General features: G+C 38.8%; 1 protein-coding gene across 2 annotated transcripts in view, besides 2 other annotated features; it reads right to left on the bottom strand.

Annotated features, from left to right (window-relative positions):
* Positions 1-21385, bottom strand: part of KLF8 (KLF transcription factor 8) — a 383409-nt gene that overhangs the window by 352856 nt on the left and 9168 nt on the right. The window lies entirely within an intron of this gene.
* Positions 18486-19685: an enhancer, noted in NCBI's record as "CDK7 strongly-dependent group 2 enhancer chrX:55945424-55946623 (GRCh37/hg19 assembly coordinates)". NCBI's record gives its function as "activates an origin of replication core promoter dependent on BRD2, BRD4, P300/CBP, MED14 and CDK7 cofactors, with strong dependence on CDK7, by STARR-seq in HCT116 cells {active_cell/tissue: HCT116}" and the evidence as "EXISTENCE:reporter gene assay evidence [ECO:0000049][PMID:35650434]".
* Positions 18785-19034: an enhancer, noted in NCBI's record as "active region_29685". NCBI's record gives its function as "activates an Ori minimal core promoter by ATAC-STARR-seq in GM12878 lymphoblastoid cells {active_cell/tissue: GM12878}" and the evidence as "EXISTENCE:reporter gene assay evidence [ECO:0000049][PMID:35858748]".

Raw genomic sequence — 21385 nt, 5'->3', positions numbered from 1 at the left:
CTCCATCCCTTTATTTTGAGCCTATGTGTGTCTCTGCACGTGAGATGGGTTTCCTGAATACAGCACACTGATGGGTCTTGACTCTTTATCCAATTTGCCAGTCTGTGTCTTTTAATTGGAGCATTTAGCCCATTTACATTTAAGGTTAATATTGTTATACGTGATTTTGATCCTGTCATTATGATGTTAGCTGGTTATTTTACTTGTTAGTTGATGCCGTTTCTTCCTAGCCTTGATGGTCTTTACAATTTGGCATGTTTTTGCAGTGGCTGGTACTGGTTTTTCCTTTCCATGTTTAGTGCTTCCTTCAGGAGCTCTTTTAGGGCAGGCCTGGTGGTAACAAAATCTCTCAGCATTTGCTTGTCTGTAAAGTATTTTATTTCTCCTTCACTTATGAAGCTTAGTTTGGTTGGATATGAAATTCTGGGTTGAAAATTCTTTTCTTTAAGAATGTTGAATATTGGCACCCCATCTCTTCTGGCTTGTAGAGCTTCTGCCGAGAGATCACCTGTTAGTCTGATGGGCTTCACTTTGTGGGTAACCCGACCTTTCTCTCTGGCTGCCCTTAACATTTTTTCCTTCATTTCAACTTTGGTGAATCTGACAATTATGTGTCTTGGAGTTGCTCTTCTCGAGGAGTATCTTTGTGGCATTCTCTGTATTTCCTGAATTTGAATGTTGGCCTGCCTTGCTAGATTGGGGAAGTTCTCCTCAATAATAGCCTGCACAGTGTTTTGTGACTTGGTTCCATTCTCCCCATCACTTTCAGGTACACCAGTCAGATGTAGATTTGGTCTTTTCCCATAGTCCCATATTTGTTGGAGGCTTTGCTCATTTCTTTTTATTTCTTTTACTCTAAACTTCTTTTCTCCCTTCATTTCATTCATTTCATCTTCCATCGCTGATACTCTTTCTTCCAGTTGATGAAATCAGCTACTGACGCATGTGCATTCATCACGTAGTTCTCATGCCATGGTTTTCAGTTCCACCAGGTCCTTTAGGTATTTCTCTGCATTGGTTATTCTAGTTAGTCGTTTGTCTAATTTTTTTTCAAGGTTTTTAACTTCTTTGCCATTGGTTCGAACTTCCTCCTTTAGCTCGGAGTAGTTTGATCTTCTGAAGCCTTCTTCTCTCAACTCGTCAAAGTCATTCTCCGTCCAGCTTTGTTCCATTGCTAGTGAGGAGCTGCGCTCCTTTGGAGGAGGAGAGTCGCTCTGATTTTTAGAGTTTCTGGTTTTTCTGCTCTGTTTTTTCCCCATCTTTGTGGTTTTATCTACCTTTGGTCTTTGATGATGGTGACATACAGATGGGTTTTTGGTGTGGATGTCCTTTCTGTTTGTTAGTTTTCCTTCTAACAGTCAGGACCCTCAGCTGCAGGTTTGTTGGAGATTGCTGGAGTTCCACTCCAGACCCTGTTTGCCTGGGTATCAGCAGTGGTCGCTGCAGAACAGCGGATATTGGTGAACTACAAATGTTGCTGCCTGATCGTTCCTCTGGAAGTTTTGTGTCAGAGGAGTACCCGGCCGTGTGAGGTGTCAGTCCACCCCTACTCTGGGGTGCCTCCCAGTTAGGCTACTCAGGGGTCAGGGACCCACTTGAGGAGGCAGTCTGCCCGTTCTCTGAGCTCAAGCTGCATGCTGGGAGAGCCACTACTCTCTTCAAAGCTGTCAGACAGGAACATTTAAGTCTGCAAAGGTTACTGCTGCATTTCGTTTGTCTGTGCCCTGCCCCCAGAGGTGGAGCTTACAGAGGCAGGCAGGGTCCTTGAGCTGTGGTGGGCTCCACCCAGTTCGAGTTTCCCGGCTGCTTTGTTTACTACTCAAGCCTCGGCAATGGCGGGCGCCCCTCCCCCAGCCTCACTGCCGACTTGCAGTTTGATGTCAGACCCCTGTGCTAACAAACAGCCAGGATCCATGGGCGTAGGACTCTCTGAACCAGGTGCAGGATATAATCTCCTGGTGTGCCATTTGTTAAGCCCGTTGGAAAAGTGCAGTATTAGGGTGGGAGTGACCCGATTTTCCAGGTGCCATCTGTCACCCCTTTCTTTGACTAAGAAAGGCAATTCCCTGACCCCTTGCGTTTCCTGCGTGAGGCAATGCCTCGCCCTGCTTTGGCTCACACACGGTGCACTGCACCCACAGTCCTGCACCCACTGTCTGGCACTCTCCAGTGAGATGAACCTGGTACCTCAGTTGGAAATGCAGAAATCACCCATCTTCTGCATCGCTCATACTGGGAGCTGTAGACTGGAGCTTTTCCTATTCGGCCATCTTGGCTCCACCTCGACTAGATTCTTACAAGTCTTTTACCACTAGAATACAACCTCCATGAGTGTAATTGCTTTTTTTGTCTTGTTCACCACTGTATACCCACCTAATATGTTCACAATCAATATATGATGAGTGATGAACTTTGGGGACTAGAGATTCTCCAGACTGGAGTGATACTGAAGGGGAGATGGTCATCAATCACAGATCACATATAAAGAAAAGATGATTTATTTAAGTAACTGAGGAGAGAAAATTTTAACAGGTTTAGTATTTCTCAGGTACCTATATTAATATGGCTGTGATACTATTAGATGCATTCTCTCTGGTAGATTATTTGAAAAAGAATAAAGAATAAAATAATGAAAATCCATGCAGCTAATTCTCAAGTTTGTCAAATTATAGCATGCTGCTATATTTGCTTAAGCTTTCAAACAAGTAAATGAAATATTATAAATATGCTTCAAGCCAGTGAATAACCCTCCAAGATCCCATTCCTCTCCATCCTAGAAGTAACTACTATCGTGAATTTGGTGGTTTTATTCCCATGTGTTTTTATACTTTTAGTATATATGTATAAATAGTATAACTGATATATTTTTAAGCCTTATATTTGGTGATTTTATTCCCATGCATGTTTTTATACTTTTAGTATATATGTATAAAAAGTATAAGTGATATATTTTTAAGTCTTATAAAAGTTATCACATTATATGCATTCTGCAATTTGTCCTCCACTCTAATATTATGTTTTTGAGATTTATCCATGTGGCTCTAGTTCATTTATTTAGCACTGCTATGCATACTATCAAAATTCCATAATTATCTATTCTCCTATTCACTGGTATCTGGGTTGTTTCTGTTTTTTGATATCATGAATATTCTTGAAAGAAAGAATATTCTTGAAACAAAGTCTCCTTGTTTACAAGTAAATAGTTCCTCTAGATGCTTCTCATACTTTAATGTGCATACAAATCACTTGATATCTTGTTAAAATTCAGATTCTGATTCTGTAGTTCTGGGGTGGGGCTTGAGATCACACATTTCTAACAAGCTCCCAGGTGATGTTATAGCTGGTCTATGGACCACATTTGGAGCAGGAAGGCCTTAAAGAGTCTATACCCAGGAGTGAAATTACTGGATCACAGATTATGCAGGTCTTCTACTTTACTAGTAATGCTAAACTATTTTCAAAGTACTTGTAACAATTAACATTGATACCAACAGTATGAGATTGTTCATAGTTCCCTACACATTCACCAGCACTTAGTATTAGTAATTAACAGCATTGCTAACATTTATTGAACACTTTTTATACGCCATGACTGTGCTAGGTAAGTATTAGTAAGGTTAGTATTAGTATGGTTAGTATTAGTATGAAACTAATCATTCTGTGCTCCACTCCAATCTGTTTTCATGGATATGCATATGGCTCCCCTTCAACTATAAAGTTATTTGGCCACTAGAAGAGTTGGATTTAACCCTAACTCCAACAAAACCAGGTTACTGTGGTCTCCTACCCTATTTTCCATGCTTTTCTCAGGAATATCCCAGTAACTCCCAGGAGCCTCACCATTCCCCACCAAGGGGGAGAAGTGGACAGGCAGCTGAGTCACACAATGAGTGTGGTGAGGAGGAATTTGATCAATTTTCAAACAATACTTTTCTTAATGGCATCATCCCTTGCACGAATAACATTGTGATTTCTGAGAGAGAAATTGGTTGAAGATATCAGCTAGAAGCTTACTGACTAATATTCTCAAATAGAGGAGTTAGACATTAGGGAGAGATGCTGACTAAATAGAGAGCAACTAAATACCACCATGCTCAGAAAGGAAGAAAGGTGAATGCTACTATTCAATGGAATAACTTTCACTGATTCAAAGTCTGGTGCTACTTACACTAGCATTCAAAGAGATGGCTGAAAGAGGGGCAGGTCTTCTCAGCACTTGGACATTCTGCTTCTGACAATTGCATCTTTGCTTATGTTTGATGGAATGCTGTAAATCCTTGAGATCTTTAACTTTTTCTATCCATGCCCCAGTTGCTTGATTCTTTTATTATTGATAAGTCTTTGGCTGCCCTATATAAAGCCCCATTATAGGTGCTAAGAGGAAAATATAGAAAATCTTAATTAAACCCCATTAAAAACATTTCTTGAGCACCTTTTATACACCATGACTCTGATAGGTAACAGAAATACAGTGGTTAGAATAGATTCTGCCCTCAAAAGAATTTACAGACGAAAGGCAAATGTAGATGTTCTAAGCCATTTGGCTAAACAGAATACTAAAGAACTTTACAAGAAAACTGTATACAATTTCTAAATGGATGAATTAAGTAGTACCATATTCCCTCAATTCTAGGATACACATTGTTGTTTGTTGTTTTTTACTTTTTAACAACTCTGAAATAAACATTTATCTTATAATTGACATAAACTTATAAAAGCTATGACCTATCCATGCTGCAATTTGGAATTCAAAGCATCTTCAGATTAAGGCAATATAGTAAATGTCACTCGAGTTCTCCATGGGTAGAAACAATATAATATAATTTGAAATGCAACCTTAAAAACAGGTTATACTTGGTAAGTAGAAAGGAGAATACAGTCCCTGGTTGGAAGGTGCACACAGTCAAGTCACAGCTAACAACTGTTTCTTCTTTACTCCATAAGACAGAAAAAATTGTGGGAAAGCATACTTTTGCACATGCATGCACACACTCATTAGTGAAGACAGAAAACTGTACTGTATAAAAATGATTGCTGAGTAATTCTAAATTATCAACAGAAATTCCAGTAAATTCCAAAATTTCTGAAAGAAATGCCTCAAAATCGAAATATTTTCTAAAAATATATAAGGTCAATGGATCATGATGGTGATATTATATCCCCTTAAACTGGTTGTTTAATAACTGATCATTTTAAATAATATAACAGGAATATTCTTTTTGTTTGCCATTATCTGTTTTGGGCCATAAAAAGCAGAGCTTTATTTCAGCAAGAGAAGCTTTCATAACATTGCCTACCACTTACGTAAGTAGATCTGATAAGGCACCTTAAAGCAGAAATTGTTTGTTCTGAGAAGACTAGAACATCTTGGTTGAGTATAATGGGTAGAAATGGACTATGTGTTTTAAATGGTGACTGGACAACCATATAGTCATATGGGAAAAGATAAAATTAAACCTCTTCCTTATGTTACATATACAAATGAGTCATAGGTACATTAAAGTATGAAAAGCAAAATGGCAAATATTTTGAAGAAAACATAAGAAAACTCTGATAAAACAAATCAGAACAAGGAAAGGTTTCTTAAGATGTAAAAATGTACAAAGCATAAGAAAAAAAAACATCCATTTGAGTATCTCAATAGTTAAAACATTTAAACACTGAAATGACATAAACAGAATTTTAAAAGAGTGTGCTATTAACATAAAAGATGGGAGCATTCCCCTTCTCCCAAGTGTAGGGTGCACTTAGTGACTTGAATGAAAAGGGAAAGTGTTTCCTGAAATACAGTGCACACCACAAAGATACTCCTCGAGAAGAGCAACCTCAAGACACATAATCATCAAATTCACCAAGACTGAAATGAAGAAAAAAATGTTAAGGGCAGCCAGAGAGAAAGGTCGGGTTACCCACAAAGGGAAGCCCATCAGACTAACAGCGGATCTCTCTGCAGAAACTCTACAAGCCACATGAGAGTGGGGGCCAATGTTCAACACTCTTAAAGAAAATAATTTTCAACCCAGAATTTCATATCCAGCCAAACTGAGCTTCATAAGTGAAGGAGAAATAAAATACTTTGCAGACAAGCAAATGCTGAGAGATTTTGTCACCACCAGGCCTGCATTACAAGAGCTCTGAAGGAAGCACTAAATATGGAAAGGAAAACCCAGTACCAGCCACTGCAAAAACATACCAAATTGTAAAGACCATCGATACTATGAAGAAAATGCATCAACTAACGGGCAAAATAACCAGCTATCATCATAATGACAGAATCAAATTTACACATAACAATATTAATCTTAAATGTAAATGGACTAAATGTCCCAATAAAAAGACACAGACTGGCAAAATGGATTAAGAGTCAAGACCCAACATTGTGCTGTATTCAGGAGTCCCATCTCACATGCAAACACACACATAGGCTCAAAATAAAGGGATGGAGAAATATTTACCAAACAAATGGAAAGAAAAAAAAAAGCAGGGGTTGCAATCCTAGTCTCTGATAAAACAGACCTTAAACCAACAAAGATCAAAAAAGACAAAGAAGGCCATTACATAATGGTAAAGGGATCAATGCAACAAGAAGAGCTAACTATCCTACATATATATACACCCAATACAGGAGTGCCCAGATTCATAACGCAAGTTCTTAGAGACTTACAAAGAGACTTAGACTCCCACACAATAATAGTGGGAGATATTAACACCTCACTGTCAATATTAGACAGACCAACGAGACAGAAAATTACCAAGGCTATTCAGGACTAGAACTCAGCTGTGGAAAAAACAGACCTAACAGACATCTACAGAACTCTCCACTCCAAATCAACAGAATACACATTCTTCTCAGCACCACATTGCACTTATTCCAAAATTGATCACATAATTGGAAGTAAAACACTCCTCAGCAAATGCAAAAGGACAGAAATCATAACAGTCTCTCAGACCACGGTGCAATCAAATTAGAACTCAGAATTAAGAAACTCACTCAAAACTGCACAACTACATGGAAACTGAACAACCTGCTCCTGAATGACTACTGGGTAAATAACAAAATTAAGTCAAAAATAAATAAATTCTCTGAAACTAATACGAACAAAGCCACAACATACCAGAATCTCTGGAACACAGCTAAAGCAGTGTTTAGATGGAAATTTATAGCACTAAATGCCCACAGGAGAAAGCAGGAAAGATCTAAAATCAACACCCTAACATTACAATTAAAACAATGAGAGAAGCAAGAGCAAACAAATACAAAAGCTGGAAGAAGACAAGAAATAACTAAGGTCAGAGCAGAACTGAAAGAGATAGAGATACAAAAAACCCTTCAAAAAAATGAATGAATTCAAGAGCTAGTTTTTTGGAAAAGATTAACAAAGTAGATAGACCACTAGGTAGAAGAATCAAATAGACAAAAAAAGATAAAGGAGAAATCACCACTGATCCCACAGAAATACAAACTACCATCAGAGAATACTACAAACACCTCTATGCAAATAAACTAAAAAATCAAGAAGAAATGGATAAGCTCCTGGACACACAAACACACACACACTCTGCCAAGACCAAACAAGGAAGAAGTAGAATCCCTGAATGGACCAACAACAAGTTCTGAAATTGAGGCAGTAATTAATAGCCTACCAACCAAAACAAAACCCAGGACCAGATGGATTCACAGCCAAATTCTACCTGAGGTACAGAGAGAAGCTGGTACCATTCCTTCTGAAACTATTCCAATAAATAGAAAAAGAGAGAATCCTCCCTAACTCATTTTATGAGGCCAGCATCATCCTGATACCAAAACCTGGCAGAGACACAACGTAAAAAGGAAATTTCAGGCCAATATGCCTGATGAACATTGATGCAAAAATCCGCAATAAAATACTGGCAAGCGAAATCCACCAGCACATCAAAAAGCTTATCCACCACGATCAAGCTGGGTTCATCCCTGGGATGCAAGGCTGGTTCAACATACACAAATCAGTAAGCATAATCCATCACATAAACAGAACCAATGACAAAAACCACGTGATTATCTCAATAGATGCAGAAAAAGCCTTCGATAAAATGCAACAGCCCTTCATGCTAAAAACTCTCAATAAACTAGGTATTGATGGAACGTATCTCAAAATAATACAAGCTATTTCTGACAAACCCACAGCCAATATCTCACTGAATGGGCGAAGGCTGAAAGCATTCCCTTTGAAAACCGGCACAAGACAAGGATGTGCTCTCTCACCACTCCTATTCAACATAGTATTGGAAGTTCTGGCCAGGGCAATCAGGTAAGAGAAAGAAATAAAGGGTATTCAAATAGGAAGAGAGAAAGTCAAATTGTCTGGGTTTGCAGATAGCATGACTGTATATTTAGAAAACCCCATCGTCTCAGCCCAGAAACTCCTTAAGCTGATAAACAGCTTCAGCAAAGTCTCAGGATAAAAAATCAATGTGCAAAAATCACAAGCATTCCTATACAACAATAACAGACAAACAGAGAGCCAAATCATGAGTGAAACTCCTATTCACAATTGCTACAAAGATAATAAAAAACGTAGGAATCCAACTTACAAGGGATATGAAGGACCTCTTGAAGGAGAACTACAAACCACTGCTCAGCAAAATAAAAGAGGACACAAACCAATGGAAGAATATTTCATGCTCATGGGTAGGAAGAATCAATATCGTGAAAATGGCCATACTGCCCAAGGTAATTTATAGATTCAATGCCATCAGCATCAAGCTACCAATGACTTTCTTCACAGAATTAAAAAAAAAACTCTTTAAATTTCATATGGAACCAAAAAAGAGCCCGTATAGTCAAGACAATCCTCAGTGGAAAAAAAAAAGAAAAAAAAAAAATCTGGAGGCATCATGCTACCTGACTTCAAACTACACTACATGGCTACAGTAACCAAAACGCCATGGCACTGGCACCAAAACTGATATATAGACCAATGGAACAGAACAGAGGCCTCAGAAATAACACCACACATCTACAACCATCTGATCTTTGACAAACCTGGCAAAAACAAGCAATGGGGATAGGATTCCCTGTTTAATAAATGGTGTTGGGAAAACTGGATAGCCATATTCAGAAAACTGAAACTGGACCACTTCCTTACACCCTATACAAAAATTAACTCAAGATGGATTAAAGACTTAAACGTAAGATGTAAAACCATAAAAACCCTAGAAGAAATCCTAGGCAATACCATTCAGGACATAGGCATGGGCAAAGACTTCATGACTAAAACACCAAAAGCAATGGCAACAAAAGCCAAAATTGACAAATGGGATCTAATTCAATGAAAGAGCTTCTACACAGCAAAAGAAACTATCATCAGAGTGAACAGGCAACCTAAAGAATGGGAGAAAATTTTTACCATCTCTCAATCTGACAAACGGCTAATATCCAGAATCTACACAGAACTTAAACCAATTTACAAGAAAAACAAAACCCATGAAAAAGTGGGCGAAGGATATGAACAGACACTTCTCAAAAGAAGACATTTATGCGGCCAACAAATATATGATAAAAAGCTCATCATCATTGGTCATTAGAGAAATGCAAATCAAAACCACAATGAGATACCATCTCACACCAGTTAGAATGGCGATCATTAAAAACTCAGGATACAACAGATGCTAAAGAGCATGTGGAGAAATAGGAATGCTTTTACACTGTTGGTGGGAATGTAAATTATTTCAGCCATTGTGGAAGACAGTGTGGTGATTCCTCAAGGATCTAGAACCAGAAATACCATTAGACCCAGCAATCACCTTGACTGGGTATAGACCCAAAAGATTACAAATCATGCTACTACAAAGACACATGCACACATATGTTTATTGCAGCACTGTTCACAATAGTGAAGTCCTGGAACCAACCCAAATGCCCATCAATGATAGGCTGGATAAAGCAAATGTGGCACATATACACCATGGAATACTATGAGGCCATGAAAAAGGATGAGTTCATGTTCTTTGCAGGGACATGGATGAAGCCAGAAACCATCTTTCTTAGCAAACTAAAACAGGAACAGAAAACCAAAAACCAAATACTACATGTTCTCACTCATAAGTGGGAGTTGAACAATGAGAACACATGGACACAGGGAGGGGAACATCACACATCAGGGCCTGTCAGGGGGTGGAGCACTAGGGGAGGGATAGCAGTAGGAGAAATACCTAATGTAGATGACGGGTTGATGGGTGCAGCAAACCACTATGGCACATGTATACCTATGTCACAAACCTGCACGTTCTGCACATATATCCCAGAACTTAAAGTATAATTAAAAGAAAAAAAAAGAAAAGGGAAAGTGGGGAAACTCAGCAGACAATCTAGACAATCTTAACCAAATGGTCAATGTTAACATCTCCAGTAAAAAGTCATGTAAATATCATGTACCCCCTAATATGACATGATGAGAAGGACACCTCACCTCTGTGGTATTCTCACCCAAAATCCATAATGTCAGTCTAACTATAATCAGACTCAGTCAATTTACATTCTTCAAAATATCAGAGCACTAACATTCAAAAATGTCGAGGTCATAAAAGATCGCAAAACTGTCACAGAGCAGAGGAGACTAAGGAGACATGAAGACTAAATACAGTCTGTATTCTGTATTGGATTCCAAAAGAGTAAAAAAGGCATTAATGAAAATATTGAGAAAACTCAAAATATGTAGTTCAGTTAGCAGTATTGTATCATATCAATGTTCACTGTTTAGTTTTGACAAATGTATCATAGTTAGGAAAACTGGGTGAAAGATATATATAGAAACTCTGTTGTATCCTCTGCAACTTTTCTTAGTATAGACAATCCACAGGCTGGGGAAAATATTTACAACACACATAATCAACAAATAGTATACAAAATATATTAAAAATTCCAAATCAATAAGATAAAAAACAAAAATAACTATAAAAAGGCAAATGAATGAACAGATCTTTCAAAGAAAAGAAAATCTGAATGACCAATCAACCTTTGAAATGATCCACAATCTTTTAGAAAGGAAATATGAATTAAAGCTATGCATTACCATTTTATAATCCCTAGACTGGAAAATTAATAGGTCTGACATCTGATAATTCCAAATAACAGTAGATACAGGGAAACAGCAACTACGATGCTGATGGCTGAGGTGAGGAATGGGGGGTTGAACCCCAAATTGTAACATCTACACTAAAGAGCCAACCCTGGTAAAGTTGAAAATATGTATATACCATGTCTCAAGTCTGCTTCTAGATTTCTGCCCTAGAAAAACTCTCACATATGTGCATAAGGAGAAAGAAACACATACAAGACACTCATCGCAGCACTATGCATGATAGAAGAGAAAGAGAGGACAGAGAGATTTGGATTTTTCATTGTCACAACGGAGGAGTTGCTACTGGCATATAGTGGGTAGAGGCCAGGGATACTGCTAAACATCTTACAATGGACAAGATAGCCCTCCAGAGGAAAAAATTATCTTGCTTAAAACATCAATAATGCCAAAACTGAGAAATCTACAGTTATCACATAAGAGTATAGGTATAATTGTTTTCTAACCCAAGAAAATATTTCCACTGGATTCTAAAACCTCTTTCTGATCACTTTTATATTCAGGGAGTGTTGGTTAGACTCCATAATTTGTACTTTCATTCTATTTGTCCTACTGTCTGCTTTGTACTTCAGTTTATTCATAATTTTGCACTGGCACTTCTACAGACCTCCTTTCTCTGTAGGAAATTTTATTCCACTTCCTACAACTCACTTTTTTTTTAGGGTTGTCTATCGGTATGTCTGAGCATGTGATCTGGCTTTGGAAGCTTCAACTGAACTATAATTCAAATTTGATTAATTAAATATCTAGTCTCTTTAGCCCTTGAGTTACAAAAAAAAATTGGGCTGCTTAATTATAAAGTACACTCCATGTTCCTAAAATTGCAAAAATGCTGTATTTATTCAGAGTCAAGTTTTAGTAGACTTCCTGACTACATTAACAGCAGGCTAAGGATATTTTTTAAAGGTATCATACAGTATATTTTAGTTTTAAAATACCCTAGGGCCTGATCCCAAGTGTTAGCCCCCATATGCAAAGTAAATTATCATATTCCCAACAAATACGAAAGTAAATATGTAAGAGAATGAATGGCAAGTGGGAAATTGAGTGCGTGAGTAAATACACAGACTAGTGTAATCAGGAAGTCTACTAAAAATTGACTCTGAATAAATAAAGCATTTTTGCAATTTTAGAAACATGGAGAGTACTTTATAATTAAGCAGCCCAATTCCTATCTGTAAATACACAGATAGGAAGCATGGAAAGACAGGGAGATGTATGGAAAGACAGGGAGATGTTATAGATTTACAAGGACAATCTTGGCTCAGCTCCCTAGTGCCTACGGCTTTCCTCTAAAGTTTCCTCAGAATCATAGGATTTGAATAGGGGGCATCCTAAAGGGCATCAGTGTCACAGGTATGCAAAATACTTTTTACAGCTTATCCTTATCTCTAACTACTCACACAGCAGAATCTGTGCTTCATCCAAACTTGTCTACTCAGAGGTTACACATCATGACCACAAATATTATCAACTTTCTACTAAGTGTCAGACCATGTACTAGGCACCAAGAATATGGTGCTAAAATAACTAAAGGAGTATAATTGGACTGTTTATAACACAAAGGATAATGCTTGATAGGATGAATACCCAATTTTCCATGATGTGATTATTACGTATTGCATGTCTGTACCAAAATATCTCATGTACCCCATAAATATACACACCTACTATGTACCCACAAGAATTTAAAAATGTTTTTAAAAGGCAGACATATTTCCTGTCTTCATGGAACTTATAGTCTAGCAGGCTGACTTTGGACCATCCCTTATCCCCACAAAAATTGCCAATCTCTCCTTTCTGCCCTTGATAAAATTTCATCTTCAAAAATGTAGCTCAAGCCTTTCCACCTCCTTGAGGTCTTTTCCAACCATCTTGTCCACTCTAATTGGTTTTAAATCTGGATTCCTGGAGCACCAGGTATCTTCCCTTCATGTTGGGCATTCTTCATTGCCTTGTATACCTATTTCTTTATGGGCCTCACCCACCGAATTGGATCATAAATATGTTTACAGCACAGATCAAGCCATATTCATCCCTTACCCTAGTGCTTGGCATGGTGCCTGGCATGTAGTAAATGCAACAGATGGTATTGTTGCTGCTGCTCCTAGTTAAGACAGTATAATATGTAGTGTGTGTGTGCGTGTGTGTGTGTGTGCATGCGTGTGTAGTGACAGAAATCCATGGCCTTTCATGCATTTGCACCCTTACATGTATTGCCCCCTTACCCTTTTGTCTGGTTAATACATAGGCTTCTTTCAAAAACAAGTGAAATGTTACCTCCTTTCCGAACTAAACTGTTAGCTCCTTGATGGCAGGGACCATAGTTTATTTACGGTAGAACACTTGGAGTACAAAAGTTGCTAAAAAAAAAAAAAAAAAAAAAATGAAACCACCAGGCCGGGTGTGGTGGCTCACGCCTGCAATCCCAACACTTTGGGAGGCTGAAGCAGGCGGATCACCTGAGGTCAGCAGTTTGAGACCAGCCTGGCCAACATGGGGAAACCCCATCTATACTAAAAAAAAAAAAAAAAAATTAGCTGGGCGTGGTGGCAGATGCCTGTAATCCCAGCTACTAGTGAGGCTGAGGCAGGAGAATCAATTGAACCCGGGAGGCGGAGGTTGCAATGAGCAGAGATGGCGCCACTGAGCTCCAGCCTGGGAGACAGAGCGAGGCTCCCTCACAAAAAAAAAAAAAAAAAAAAAAAAGCAAAAAACAAAACAAAACAAAAAAAAAACCACCACGAAACCACCAATCCTCCACATAATAATAGGAGAGACTTCAGTCACTTTGTTCCACTAGGAAATTTGCTGACACTGATTTTCACATGTGCTTTCACCCGATTCTTCCTGTTTGTGTTACAAAATCCCCAGGTATTTGAGTATCAAATGAAGTAATAATAAAGTCTCTGGCATTAAGTAGATGCTCTATAAAAGCCCTCTTCCTCTATGTTCATTCATTGCATGAAGAAATATTGACTGCCTAACATGTGCCATGCACTATTTTATGCTCTGGGAAAAAAATGCATCAAACAATAACAAACAAAAATCCAAGCCTTCATGAACCTTACATTCCAATAAGGGGAAATAGGCAATAAACAAAATAAATACATAATGGTCATAAACTGTCACATTTAAGAAAAAAAATGAAACACGCAATAAAGATTAATTAAGAATGTCAGGGCCGGGCGCAGTGGCTCAAGCCTGTAATCCCAGCACTTTTGGAGGCTGAGGCGGGCAGATCAGGAGGTCAGGAAATCGAGACCATCCTGCCTAACATAGTGAAACCCGGTCTCTACTAAAAAATAAAAATAAAAATAAATTAGCCAGGTGTGGTGGTGGGCACCTGTAGTCTTAGCTACTCGGGAGGCTGAGGCAGGAGAATGGCGTGAACCTGGGAGGCGGAGCTTGCAGTGAGCTGAGATCGCGCCACTGCACTCCAGCCTGGGCGACAGAGCGAGACTCGTCTCAAAAAAAAATGTTAGGGGTGCGTGGGGCTGAATTATTTTGTATAGAACCGTCAAGGAAGGCTTCTCTGAAGAGACAATATTTGAATAGAAATCTGAATGAAGACAGGGAGTAAGCCATGAAAATATCTGGGGTAAAGGGAAGAGTGTTAGAGTATAAGTGAAGGCAAAAGTCTTGTGGCAGGCATGTGTTTAGCATGATTAAGGAACATCAAGAAGGGCTTTTAGATGAGACCATAAGTATTTGCTGAATCCAAACCCATTTGCACACTATACATGAATGTTCTATGATGTACAGATATATATATATACATACACACAAATATATATGTGTATATACAGATATACACACACACACACACACACACACACACACACACACACACGTGGATCTTTAAGTGTTATGGGTTAAATTGTGACCCACCAAAAGATATGTTGAAGTATTAACCCTCGGTAACTGTGAATGAGGTTTATGAGAATTTTATACCAACAGAAACACTGCCAGTCTGGGCTGAAAAAGACAGAGATGAGAAAAACGCAGGAAGAATAATTTCTTGTTTCCTTTAGTTAGTTTTTTTTTTAATTTCCAACATTTATTTTAAGTTCAGAGGTACATGTGCAGGACATGCAGGCTTCTTACGTAGGTAAATGTGTGCCATGATGGCTTGCTGCACAGACCATCCTATCACCTAGGTATTAAGCCCAGGATTCATTCAATATTCTTCTGGATGGTCTCCCTCCTCCCACCCCTCACCTTCTGACAGCCCTTAGTGTGTGTTATTCCCCACCCCCCACCCATGTGTCCAGGTGTTTTCATCATTCAGCTCCCACTTATAAGTGATAACATGTGGTATTTGATTTTCTTTTTCTGTGTTAACTCGCTGAGGATAATGGCTTCCAACTCCATCCATGTCCCTGCAAAGGACGTGATCTTATCTCTTTTTATAGCTGCATAGTATTCCATGGTGTATATGTACCACATTTTCTTTATCCAGTCTATCATTGATGGGCATTTGGGTTGATTCCATGTCTTTGCTATTGTGAATAGTGCTGCAATGAACATATGCATACATATATCTTTATAAAATAATGATTTCTATTTCTCTGGGTATATACTCAGTAATGGGATTGCTAAGTCAAATAGTATTTCTGCCTCTACATCTTTGAGGAATCGCCACACTGTCTTCCACAATGGTTGAACTAATTTCCACTCCCACCAACAGTGCAAAAGAGTTTCATTTTCTCTAAAATCTCACCAGCATCTGTTGTTTCTGGACTTTTTAATAATAGGCATCCTGACTGGTGTGAGATGGTATCTCACTGTGGTTTCGATTTCCATTTCTCTAATGATCAGAGTGATATTGAGCTTTTTTTCATATGTTTGTTGGCCACATGTATATCCTCTTTTGAGAAGTGTCTATTCATGGCCTTTGCCCATTTTTTAATGGGATTTTTTCTTTCTTTCGATTTTATTTTAAGTTCCAGGATATGTGTGCAGGACGTGCAGGTTTGTTACATAGGTAAAAGTGTTCCATAGTGGTTTGCTGCACCTATCAACCCATCACATAGGTATTAAGCCCCACATGCATTAGCTATTTATCTTGATGCTCTCCCTCCCCCTGCTGTCCCCCTGACAGGTCCCAGCGTGTGTTGTTCCCCTCCCTGTATCCATGCATTTTCATTGTTCACCTCCCATTATAAGTGAGAACACGCAGTGTTTGGTTTTCCGTTCCTGTGTTAGTTTGCTGAGGATAATGGCTTCCAGCTCCATCCATGTCCTACAAAGGACAAGATCTCATTCCTTTTTATGGCTGCATAGTATTCCATTGTGTAATGTAGCATATTTCTTTATCCAGTCTATCACTGATGGATATTTCGGTTGATTCCATGTCTTTGCTATTGTGAATAGTGCTGCAATGAACATACGTATGCATGTATTTTTACAATACAGTGATTTATATTTCTTTGGGTATATACCCAGTAATGGGATTGCTGAGTCAAATGGTATTTCTGCTGCTAGGTCTTTGAGGAATTGCCACACTGTCTTCCACAATGGTTGAACTAATTTACATTCCCACCAACAGTGTAAAAGCATTCCTATTTCTCCACAGCTTTGCCAGCATCTGTTGTTTCTTGACTTTTTAATAATCATCATTCTGACTGGCATGAGATGTTATCTCATTGTGATTTTGATTTGTATTTCTCCAATGATGAATGATGTTGAGTTTGTTTTTGATATGTATGTTGGCCACATAAATGTCTTCTTTTGAGAAGTGTCTATTCATGTCCTTTACCCACTTTATAATGGGGTTTTTTTATTCTTGTACATTTGTTTAAATTCCTTATAGATTCTGGATATTAGAACCTTGTCTGAAGGATAGATTGCAAAAATTTTCTCCTATTCTGTAGGTTGTCTCTTCACTCTGATGAGAGTTTCTTTTGCTGTACAGAAGCTCTTTAGTTTAATTAGATCCCATTTGTCAATTTTTGCTTTCGTAGCATTGCTTTTGATGTTTTTGTCATGAAATCTTTGCCCATGCCTATGCCCTGAATGGTATTGCCTAGATTTTCTTCTAGAGTTTTTATAATTTTGGGTTTTAGAACAAAGCTGGAGGCATCATGCTACCTGACTGCAAACAATACTACAGCCGATAGTAACCAAAACAGCATGGTACCCATACAAAAACAGATACATAGATCAATGGAACATAATAGAGATCTCAGAAATAAGGTCACACATCTACAACCATCTTATCTTCGACAAACCTGGCAAAAACAAGCAACTGGGAAAGGATTCCCTATTAAATTAATGATGCTGGGAAAACTGGCTAGCCACATGCAGAAAATTAAAACTGGACCCCTTCCTTACACCTGATACAAAAATTGACTCAAGATGAATTAATGGGATTTTTTCTTATAAATTTAAGTTCCTTGTATATGCTGAATATTAGACCTTTGTCAGATGCATAGTTTGAAAGTATTTTCTCCAGTTCTGTAGGTTGTCTGTTCATTCTGATTATAGTTACTTTTTCTGTGCAGAAGCTCTTTAATTAGATCCCATTTCTCAATTTTTGCTTTTGTTGCAATTGCTTTTGGCGGCTTCATCATGAAATGGTTGCCTGTGTCTATGTTCTGAACGGTATTGCCTTGATTCTCTTCTACTAGGAATTTTATAGTTTGGGGTTTTACTTTTAAGTTTAGATGTCTAGCATGGCCGAGTAAGTTTTCTTTGATTATTCCCTCAAATATGTTTTTCAAACTTTTATATTTCTCTTCATCATCAGGAACACCAATTATTCTTAGGTTTGGATATTTAACATAGTCCCAAACTTCTTGGAGGCTTTGTTCATTTTTTAAAATTCTTTTTTCTTTGTCTTTGATGGACTGGGTTAATTCAAAAGTCTTGTCTTCGAGCTCTGAAGTTCTTTCTGCTTGTTTGATTTTATTGCTGAGATTTTCCACTGCATTTTGCATTTCTCTAAGTGTGTCCTTGATTTCCAGAAGCTGTGATTGTTTTTTATTTATGCTATGTATTTCACTGAAGAATTTTCCTTTCCTATCCTGTATCATGTTTTTGATTTACTTAAGTTGGACTTCACCTTTTTCTATTGCCTCCTTGATTAGCTTAATGACAGACATTCTGAATTCTTTTTCTCGCAGTTCAAAGATTTCGTCATGGTTTGGATCCATTGCTGGTGAGCTGGCAGGATATTTTGGGTATGTTAAAGATCCTTGTTTTGTCATATTACCAGAATTGTTTTTTTTGTATCCTTCTCATTTGGGTAGACCATGTCAGAGGGAAGATCTGGAATTCAAGGGCTGTTGATCAGATTATTTTGTCCCACGGGGTGCTCCCTTGATGTGGTGTTTTCCCCCTTCCCCTAGGAATGGGGCTTCCTACAGTACAGAGGAACTGTAGTAATTGTTTTTGCTCTTCTAGGTCTAGCCACCCGGGGGAGCTACCATGCTCTGAGCTGGTACTGGGGAGTTTCTGCAAAGACTCCTGTGATATGATTCATCTTCAGGTCTTGTAGCCGTGGATACCAGCATCTGCTCTGGTGGAGGTAGCAGGGAAGTGAAGTGGACTTGGTGCAGGTCCTTGGTTGTGTTTTTGTTTAGTGGGCTGGTTTTGTGTTGGTTGGCCTCCAGCCAGGAAGTGGTGCTTTCAAGAGTGCAATAGCTGCAGTCCTATAGGGAGGAGGCAAACTTGCCCTAGAGACACCTGGTTAAGTATTCAGGTTTCTCAGGCAGCAGGCAGGGCCACAGAGCTCCCAAAATATTATGACCTTTGCCTTCAGCTAGCAGGTAGAGAAAGACCACCAGGTGGGGGCAGAGATAGGCATGTCTGAGCTCAGCCTATCCTTGGGCCGGGCTTGCTGTGGCTGCTGTAGGGGCTGGGGTGTGGTTCCCTGTCTAATGGTGTTATATTCCCGGGGGATTATGGCTGCTTCTGCTGAGTCATACAGGTAGCCAGGGAAGTGCGGGACACCTGGCAGTCACAGGCCTCACCCAGCTCTCACACAGCCTGCAATCCTAAAAGCGGGTTTCACTTCCCCCATGCCCCCGCCAACATCACTGAGTCTATTTCGAGGCAGCCGGTGACCAGGGCTGAGAACTCGCCCCAGACCACGAACCTCCCTGTTGAGAGAGCAAGCAGGCTCACAGTTTTTCAGTGTCTCAGGAGTTTGCAGCGGTAATCCAGTTCCTTCAAAGGATCTCTGGATTTTCTTGGCTTTCCTGGTGTGTTCCTGTGGTAGTTCTTGGGAGCAAAAGTTCACGAAGTGAGTCTCCACACACTGCTCTATCAGTCTGACCAGGAGCTGCAAGCTAGTCATGCCTTCTATCCACCCTCTTAATCTGAAAACTCCATTGTATTTTGGGAGCAGCTAACTTTTTTTCTAGGTTTCACAGGTCCACAGAAGAGAGAAATTTTGCCCCAGGATGGACCACACCCTGAGTCTCATCCTTCCTTACGCAGATGAAGTAGAAGATGAGTTTTGGGACTCTTTGAGTTGATTAAATTTAGGTGAGATTTTTAAGACTTAGAATTGATGCCGGAATGGGTTAGAACTTTTGGAGATGTTGTGATAGAGTGAATGTGTTTTGCCCATGGGAAGGGCATAAATTTTGGAGGGCCAAAGGAAGACCATTTTGGGTGGTAATGTGACCTTTAAAATGATATGTTGAAGTCCTAGCCATCAGTACTTGTGAATGTGACATTATTTGAAAATAAAGTCTTTGCAAATGTAATCAAGATGAAATCATTAAGGTGGCCCTAATTCATTATGACTGGTGTCCTTATAAAGAAGAGGAAAGTGACAAGTGAAGACACACACACACACACACACACGGACACGCTCATATACACACAGACATAGCCATGTGAAGAGAGAGACAGAAATTAGAGTTATACTGCCACAAGCCAAGGAATATCTGGACTTACCAGAAGCTGAAAGAGACCAGGAAGGATTCTTTCTAGAGGTTTTCGATGGAGCATGGCCTTGCCAATACTTTTATTTTTTATTTCAGATTTCTAGCCTCAAGAACTGTGAGAGAATAAATTTCTGCTGTTTTAAGGCACCCATTTTGTGGTACATTTTACAGCATCAGAAAACAAATATGCCAAGTATTCATTTGTGTGGAGATATATCTTTATGAGTTTGCATGTATCAGGATTGGATGGCAATTTCTGAATGAGCATGTATATCTCTGTCTGGGTACCTATATGCATGATCTACATATAGTTGACCAGGAACATGAAAAATGATGTATAATCTGCCAGAAAGTCTCAAGATAGGTAGATAATTTCCCCAAACTCATTGATTGACTTATTCCCTCAACAAGTATTCACTGGGTTCCTTCTATGTTCTAGGCACTGGGGACAATCATGATTAAGATATCCTTAGACTGCTGAGTCTAGTGCTATGGGAACCCAGAGGTAGAAACAACTTCCTTTATCTACTTACTTTCTGGGGCTCCTGTTATCTCTCTAATCTTATTTCCATTCAAGGAAAGATAGTGAGAAGTTGAATTACTAAATAATACAAGAATACTTATAAAAGAGAGTTGCGACATTTGAGACTGTCCCCTTCCTAATTTATGTGTTTAAAAGCAGCATGATCTAGTACTTAAAGGCAAGGGCTCTGGTGTTAATTTTGTGTTGAGATCCCAGACGACAAATGCTAGCTGTGTGACTGAAAGCAAGTTATTTAGTTAACTTCTCTAATTCTATATTTCTTCATTTGTTAAAAGAAAAGGTGGCGGAGCAATAATATTTCATAGAATTGTACTGAAGAGTCAACAAAATAATCTTTATACAGGGCTAACACAGTTCTGGGCACTCAGAAGCCAGCCCTCTTCTGACCCTTGAATACTCAAGAAAAAGCTCTTTTGCTTGAGTACTTTTTCCACTATATGAGTGTACTGTTTCCTGCTAGCAGAAGAGTGAGTAGATGACAGGGTGTGAAATACAAATTTAAGATTCCCAAGGTCACTCTCTATTTAAACCCACACAGTTTATAAGGATGATATTTCCTGACTTTATTTTGAATTAAAACGGGATAACTTTAACACACCATCATGACCATTTTAGTATGTAGGCCTTGTCGAGAATTTAGAATAGTGTCTTGCACTTAGTAATTGCTCAATAAATGTTAATTATTATTGCTATTTGTGATAAATACTGCCTTCACCTGCCAACTAAAGAATTGGATAAAGGAGACAGGGGATCCAAAGTAAGAAACCCATATTCATTTTATTGGAACTTGAACTGACTTTATCAAAGAGGAAAGGGAAAGAAAA

The sequence above is a fragment of the Homo sapiens genome, chromosome X, assembly GCF_000001405.40.
Source record: "Homo sapiens chromosome X, GRCh38.p14 Primary Assembly".
Lineage (NCBI taxonomy): Eukaryota > Metazoa > Chordata > Mammalia > Primates > Hominidae > Homo > Homo sapiens.
This window is presented reverse-complemented; position numbering and strand designations above follow the sequence as displayed.